The sequence below is a fragment of the Homo sapiens genome, chromosome 12, assembly GCF_000001405.40.
Source record: "Homo sapiens chromosome 12, GRCh38.p14 Primary Assembly".
In the NCBI taxonomy this organism is placed as follows: domain Eukaryota; kingdom Metazoa; phylum Chordata; class Mammalia; order Primates; family Hominidae; genus Homo; species Homo sapiens.
Genome location: NC_000012.12, coordinates 48358909 through 48367601, shown reverse-complemented (window position 1 = coordinate 48367601; position 8693 = coordinate 48358909).

Genomic DNA, 8693 nt, shown 5'->3' with positions numbered 1-8693 from the left:
CAAATTATATTGATTTTTTAAATGTCAAACGAACCTTGCATTCCTGAGATAAACCTTACTTGGTCATGCTGTATTGTCCTTTTCATATATTGCTGAGCATTATTTACTAATATTTTGTTTATAACTTTTGCATCTGTATTAATGAGTGTATTGGTCTGTAACTTTCATTTGTTGTAATATTCTTCTCAGATTTTGGTATTAAGGTAATATGTGTCTCATAAAACAAGTTTAGAAGCGTAATTTCTCCTCTATTTTCTAAGAGGTCATTTTGCACTGATATTTCTAAAACATTTAATAGAATTCATCCTAAACAAGTTCATATTTAAAAAAAAGAATTCACCAGTAAGGGTATTGGATCTGGAGCTTTTTTTAAAAAATAAGGGAGGTGCTGATTAACTTTTAGGTTTGTAAAGTCAGATATGCATTCTAAAATTTCTAGGTTACAATTACAGTAATAAAAATAGGCTGTATATCAGAATTAGTGAGGGGATGATAATTATACCACTCAATCCAAACGAAGGCATAAAGAGAAAAAAATAAATCAACTTAGAGAGAACAAGTCAAATATGTAGCACAAAATAAAAGGACAGAAAAATTCCAAAATATCCATAATAACAAAAAAGTAAATAAACTAAAATCTCCATGTAAAGACAAATATTTTCAGGGAGGATTAATTTTTAAACTTCAATTTATATACTATACACAAAACATGCCTTGAACATTATGACAAAGAAAAGTTAAAAATAAAATTATAAAAAAGGATATACATACAAATATTAACAAAATAAAAGCTAATTAATGTCAAACCAAATAGACTATAGCCGTTAAAGCTTAGGGCACAAAGCATTACTGTAAAATGGTAAGTTTTATTTCACAGAGAAGTTGTTTCATCAAAACATGTATCAGCCTAATATAACCTTAAAATATATAAAGCAAAAATGGACATAATTATAAGAAAAAGGTAACAAAACCATAAATGAACTGGGAGATTTTCATATACCTGTAGTGGCCCCCCAAAAGATATGTCTATGCTCAAATCCCTGGAACCTGTGAATGTTACCGGCAAATGGCTTTTTAAATTGATAATTAAGGTTTTTGAGATCATCCTGGATTATCCAGTAAGCTCTAAACCCAATGACACATGTCCTTACGACAGAAGAAAGAGGAGAAAACTCAGGCACACAGAGGAGAAAGCAACGTGAAGACAGAGGCAGAGACTGGAGTGATTGGAGCTGCAAGCCATGGAATGCAAATGACTGCCAGCAACCACCAGAAGCTTGGGAACAGGCATAGAATGAATCCTTCCACAGAGTCTTCAGAGGGAACACAACCCTGTGGTTACCTTGGTTTTGAACTCCTAGCTTCCAGAACTGTGAGGGAAAAAAATTTCTTTTGTTTGTAAGACACCAAGTTTGTGGTAATTTATTACAGCAGGTACAAGACATGTATACACCTCCCTCATTCTTAAAAAACAAACAAACAAAAAACCGCATAGACCAAAACTAAGAAAAAAAGAATCAAACTATACAACATTTTTTTTTTGTTTTTAGACAGAGTCTCACTCTGTTGCCCAGACTGAAGTGCAGTGGCACAATCATAGCTCACTGCAGCTTCAACTTCCTGGGCTCAAGTGATCCTCTTGCCTCAGCTTTCCAAGTAGCTGGGACTCTAGGCATGCACCACCACACCTGGCTAATTTTTTAATTTTTTATAGAGATGGGGGTCTCACTATACTAGCCAAGCTGGTCTCAAACTCCTAGCCTCAAACAATCCTCCCATCTTGACTTCTCAGAGCTGGGATTAACAGGCATAAGCCACTGCACCCAGCCTAATTACAATTTTTGATCTGATAGAATATACAGAGCACTGCATCAAATAATCAGACAGAGTTTTTAAAAATTAGCACTCATAAGCCAGGCGTGGTGGCTCATGCCTGTAATCCCAGCACTTTGGGAGGCCGAGGCGGGCGGATCACGAGGTCAGGAGATTGAGACCATCCTGGCTAACACGGTGAAACCCCATCTCTACTAAAAAAATACAAAAACATTAGCCAGGCGTGGTGGTCGGAGCCTGTAGTCCCAGCTACTTGGGAGGCTGAGGCAGGAGAATGGCATGAACCCGGGAGGCGGAGCTTGCAGTGAGCCGAGTTCGCGCCACTGCACTCCAGCCTGCGCGACAGAGCGAGACTCCGTCTCAAAAAAACAAAAACAGAAACAAAAACAAAAAATTAGCACTCATGAAATTTTTGTGAAATGGGCATAAAGCAAGTCTCTAAAAATCAGTATCATGAATCAAATTCTCTGATTATATTAAGTTTTAAAAAGATAAAGAAGACTCTTGCAATGTTTTAAAATTAAATAAGTCAAGCATTATAAAGATAAAATAACATTGGGTATTTTTAAATAATTAGAAATGAAAGATAATGAAAATTCTCCATGTCAAAACTTGTGGCACATACCTATAGCAACAAAGAGAACTATATTCTTATATGATGAAAAATGAAAATAATAAGGTAAGTATTCAAATTAAGACTTTATTAAAAGGAAAAGAGCATAAATCTAAAGAATGTTAGAAGAAATTAATAAAATGGAAAGAAAATACTTAACAGAAATAATTTTTAAACTGAAAAATTGTTCTCCAAAAGAACCTCTGGAAGATTGAGCAAAAAGAAAAGAAAATACAAAAAAAAATTAGGAATAAAAAGAGGACATAACCACAGGTGCAAAAGATATTTTTAAAGCTATGGTGGACATTTATCTGCTGATTTTTGTTGTTTCCATTTAGATAGGAACTGGCAGTGCATGTGTGTGCCCAGATGAAAGGATAAGCATAAGCTGGTGTGACCTGAAATTTGGGCAGTCTGCCTTTTTCTAAAAATTAAACACTAACTTCTGCCACTCTATCAAGAAAAGCTTGTATGAAGTTTTTGACTCCTAAGAGTACTCTGCTGTGATCAATATTTTGTTTAAACTGTTTATTTGTGCAACAAATCTTGGAATTTTCACGCTAAGAACATTGCTAACCTATTCTAAATAAATTCACAATATATCTCTATTTCTGAGTGCAGCCTGTTTTCTGCTATAATTAGCACCATGCTCTGATGTTAATGTTCTTTAGTTATGGAGTTATGCTATGCGATCCTCCACCACACATCTATTTTGAAAAGGTGAAAACCTTACTACTTTTTTGCATCAGAAATAAATGAGGCAATCCATACTGAAAGTGCTTCAAGGAATAATGAGAAATACAGTTAAAAGTGCTTGTAGTTCTTGACTGTAATGTGTCACTTACATGCTAATTAACCACACTATGAGCATATATTCCAGATTAGGACAGTTGACCTCCCTTACAGTATAGTGTAAAGTAACTAACACAATATAATATCCTGCTACGCTTAAGCATTTTAAAGTTAAAGATATCATAGTATCTGCAAATTTGACAAACTCACTCTAAAGTTTAGATAGAACATAAAATTAAGAAGTCAATATAACCCTGAATAATAATAAGATGAACAGATTTTCCTTCTTATATATCAAAATTTATCATAAAGTTTTATAATAAGGATAATATGGTATTTGCAATGAGATAAATAAACCAATGAGATCATAATAGAGACTAGGCCAGAAATAAACGAGTATACACTTGAAAAATTGATGACAGCTGGGAGCAGTGGCTCATGCCTGTAATCCCAGCATTTGGGAGGCCAAGGTGGGAAGATCATGAGGTCAGGAGATCGAGACCATCCTGGCCAACATGGTGAAACCCCGTCTCTACTAAAAATACAAAAATTAGCTGGGCATGGTGGCACACGCCTGTAGTCCCAGCTACTCGGGAGGCTGAGGCAGGAGAATTGCCTGAACCCAGGAGGCAGAAGTTGCAGTGAGCCAAGATCGCACCACTGCACTCCAGCCTGGCAACAGAGCCAGACTCTGTTTCAAAAAAAAAAAAAAAAAAAAAAAAAAAAAAAAAAAAAAAATTGATGACAAAGCTGACAGTGTAAACCAAACATATATTTCCCTGTATTTTGTAGGAAACCTTTAACATGTTTTTTACATTTTAAGACTGTAATCCATCTAGAATTGATTTTGTGTACATTGATATAAGAACCAACTTTATTTTCTCCAAATAATACCAACTGTTTCATTTATTTTATAGCTCTTCCCTTTCCCACTGATTTGCTATGTCCACTTTGTCAAATATTGTTTTCATCTAATATAATTTTGAGAGAACAGAACATATCACAGAATAATACATGTGTTATTATTTCTTTTATGTAGTATTTTTAAATGTGCAAAACTAAATTTATTGTTTAGGAATGCACACATTTGAGGTAAAATTATAAAAAGAATACAAGGAAACCATAAACTCAAAACTCAGGGTAATGGTTATTATAGGAAGGAGTGAGGAGTTGTTGTTTTATTTCTTCATCTGGGTGAGATACACTGAGGTCCAATTATCTTCATTCTTACTGCATACAGACATTACATATAGTCTTTTTATGTATACTTCATAATTAAAATAGAAAATATATAATGGTTAAAATGAATAAATAGTTGAGACAAATAGTAAAATAATATAACCAAAAAGTTAATTATTGAGCTGAAAGATCTAGTTGAAAAGCTCTTCTAGATAACACCAAGATGGACAAAATATGAACAATTCAAAATGAAAAGATGAGAAATGCAAAAACAAAAAATTTTCAATAACCATCCTGGAGGAAGAAGGAAAAAAAAATGACTGAGGCATATTTAAAGAAATAATAATCTACCACTTGCAGGTGATGGAAATGTTCATTATTTTGATTGCATTGATGGTTTCATGGGTACATATATCTGTCAAAACCCATCAAATTACACACTTTAAATATATGCAGTCTATTGTACAATAATTATATTTCAATAAAGCTGTAAAGAAAAAAATTCATATGGAGTAAAAACAGAAAAAAACAAACTAGGATTAAAAGTACTCAGAGTTCCAAGTTAGATACAAGACAGATAAACATAACAAATAAAGAAAACCACTTAAACACTTAAAATGAATCTTGAGGACTTCTAAGACAAATAAGGTGTTCCTAAAAGATTCTAAAAATGTTTGTAGAGATGAAGAACTGCCTATTAAGGAAAAAATATCAGATTGAAATCAGACTTTTCAAAAGTAACATCAGATACAGAGAGTAACATAAAATTTCCAAAGTCTTGAAGAAAATAAATTTCAAAACTATGAATATGTGTCCAGTGATACTCTCTCTTAAAAGTTAGGGCCCAATATTTTAAATGATAGAAAACCTCAGAAAATTTACCAAACTGCCACCTTATTTGAAAACTCCTATTGGGAAGGTATCCTAGCAAGAAGCAAATAAATCAAAGAGGCTATATTTCACATTGGGGACTGTATGACCCCGAGTTTTGTTCATCTCTTCAGGATACTCTGAAGCCTGACTATTCACTGCTATGGCCTGTGACAGATAAACTGTCAAGTGTCACTCTTGTTCTATTTCTCAGTCAAAAGCAGTTTATTTGCATTTCTCTGGAGAAGGAGAGGGGACAGAAAGTGGTGAAAAGTAGGTTCTGACCTCCTTGCTGACCAATAATTTCATTAATAACATGGAAGATTGTATTACTCTTCAAAATATTTGCTAACCCTCCTGGGGAAGAATTATACTTTCTCCCCACCCCATTGATCTCAGGTTTCACCATGTAATCTCAACGCACCTCCCTGTAAGAGGATGATTTATCTCTGTCCTGATTGACTCAAATGTGGCCATGTGACTTACTTTGGAAAAAAAGTCACAGGTATCACTTCTGAGCACAAGTTTCAAAAACCAGTTTATAGTTCACCATTCTTCTCTTTTCATAAGTCCAAACACCAGCCATATCCCAGTTTAAAGGCTGCTCTCTAAGCCTAGGTCCTAAAGTAAAGGCTATGTAGTAACAAAGCCACCACTGTCTCAGTGACATGTAGCATGAGAATTAAATCTTTATTGTTGTTAGCCATTGAAATTTTGGGTCACTTGTTATCACAGCATAACTTGGCCTAAGTTGACGGATACATTAAACTTACCCTTCTGTAAGCCCTGTAACCTCTCTTCAACTCTGAGCTGCCTCTACTTCTCCTTCATTCAACACATATCTTATTGCCAACAGGTAATTTTGGTGAGATCACTTCCATTTCTGACTGTGTTCATTCATTTGCACGGCTATGAAGGAATATCTGAGACTGGGTAATTTAGAAGAAAACAAGTTTATTTGTCTCACAGTTCTGCAGGCTGTACATGAAGCATGGTGCAGGTATCTGCTTCTAGGAGGGCCTCAGAAGCCTTACAATGATGGTGGAAAGTCAAGGGGATCCAGTGTGTCACATTGTGAGAGTGAGCAAGAGAGAAAGAAAGGAGGTGCCAGGCTCTTTTAAACAACAAGATCTTATGTGAACTCGTAGAATGAGAACTCAATCATTACCACTAGGACAGCACCAAGATATTCATAAGGAATCTGCCCCCATGACCCAAACAACTCCCTCTAGGCCCACTTCCAGCACTGGAGGTCACATTTCAACATGAGATTTGGAGGAGACAAAACATCTAAACCATATCACAGGGAGTCATAAAGTATTCCAAATCTTTTCTTCCTACTCCAGAATTGACTGGAGCATCTGCTCTTCTGGGGGCCAAGGCAAAGCCTTCTCCACCTGAGTCCAGCAAAGCTCACCAATCAACCGCAGTCTTTACGTATCTCTTGGTGTTCTGAATATAGTAAGTGAATGGTCTCTAGGGGCGATAGAGGTAGCAGAAAAAAGCAGATGACAATGGACTGAGAAGTGAAGGAGGAGATTGTGGCATAGACTAACCTTCCAAAAAAAACTGGCTATAAAGAGAAGGAAAGACAAGGAAGTAGTTGGGGGATCAAACAGCCTGGAGTTGGATAGCCTTTATTTTTATTTTTATGTATTTATTTTTGAGACAGGGTCCTGCTCTGTCACCCAGGCTAGAGTGCAATGACTTGATCTCGGCTCACTGCAACCTCTGCCTCCCGGTTTCAAGTGAGTCGCCTGCCTCAGCCTCCTAAGTAGCTGGGATTACAGGCACCCGCCACCACACCTGGCTAATTTTTGTATTTTTAGTAGAGATGGGGTTTCACCATGTTGGCCAGGCTGGTCTCGAACTCCTGACCTCAGGTGATCCGCCCACCTTAGCTTCCGAAAGTGCTGGAATTACAGATGTGAGCCACTGTGCCTGGCCTAGGCTTTCTTTTATACTCCAAATGCTTAGCTTCCCTTCAGTCCTGTTACAGAAGAGTAATTCCCAGTTTACAGAGGTAAGCCAAAGTTTTGGTTTCATCTTTCTTGTGTCTGTACTCACCATGTTTCTTTAGCATAGCTGGTATTTCCCTGCCATTCCCAGGACAACCAAGGCTGGTTTTAGGGAGGCCAACTCTCTCCAGAGGAGGAAGGGCTACTAATTGTGCCCACTTTATTTTCAAATAGGAAAAACTTGAGCAATAACCAGTGGTAAAGCCCAATATATAGAGGGAGATATAATAAAACTAAAGTAGAGAAAGGAACATTATCTCTGTGAAATAGGAGGCAAGAGCCCAAGCTGAGAGCTGGAGAAGCAAGAATAGTTAAAAAGGTAAATGGCATCATAGGAGTAATGAAACTTTTCAACTGTGTTTACTTAGGTATATGTGTGCATGGGCATGCACACACTCATGTTCAGAATCAGAGCGATCAGAGACAAGACAAATCGTTTCCAGAGCCTCTTGATCCCCTGGTTCTTAATTAGTAGAATTTGTGGCTAGGAGCTTTCTACACTCCTATGTCCTTAGCCAGACCTCTCTTGGTAACAGCCATGTCAGTAGCCACTCTGTCCCAGGACCAGAGGCCCCTTTGCTCTGGCTAATGCCACCTCTTCCATGAGCACTGAGCAATTCCTGACTCTCTGGGGCCCCTTCTCACCACCCCCCACACCAGGGCCTGCCTGGCACAAGATCCCAGGGATTTGATGAAAGAAGAAATAGAAGTCACAAAAACTGATCAGGAGCTCTCCTCAAGACTGAGGGAGTAAAAGGTGATAAAAGAAGAGAAAATCCTGTCTTAAGAGAGCCATCTCCAAAAAGACCCATGCCTGTGCCAGCGGATAGATACTGAACACTTTGGCTTTAAGTCGCTGCCTGTCTGTACCTGTCTCTGGTCATGTCACTCACTGGAAAGCAAAGTCCACTTTTCCTGGGGACTGTCTGGAGGCCTCTCAACTCCAGCTGCAGGAACCGAGTCTCCTTCCAGCAGCAGTGCCTTATGGCAGGCAGCCCAGCTCAGAAGTCAGAAGACCTGTCAGACCCGGAGCACCCCTGCTCAGTAAGGTTGGTGAGAGAAACCCGGAGGCATACAGACTATGTAACGGGAGGGATCTGCAAAAACAACAGGTCCAAGCCCCATATCCTACACAGGAGGAAACTGGACACAGATTAGGGATGTGTGTTTCTCAAAGTCAAACAGTGCTATCTCAGCCAATCAAGTAATGGCTGAGCCGGAAGGTTGAGGCTTCTGCCCTTCCTCCATCTGAAGTCTTTCTGTTCTGTTTCTTTATGTATCAAGTTCTGGACCCCCCAAAAGTTAGCCTTTTATTTTAAAATGTGTTACTAGCTGCAGCAGCCAGATGAAGAGTAGGAGGGAGATTTCCTGGAGGATCAGAAATGAAG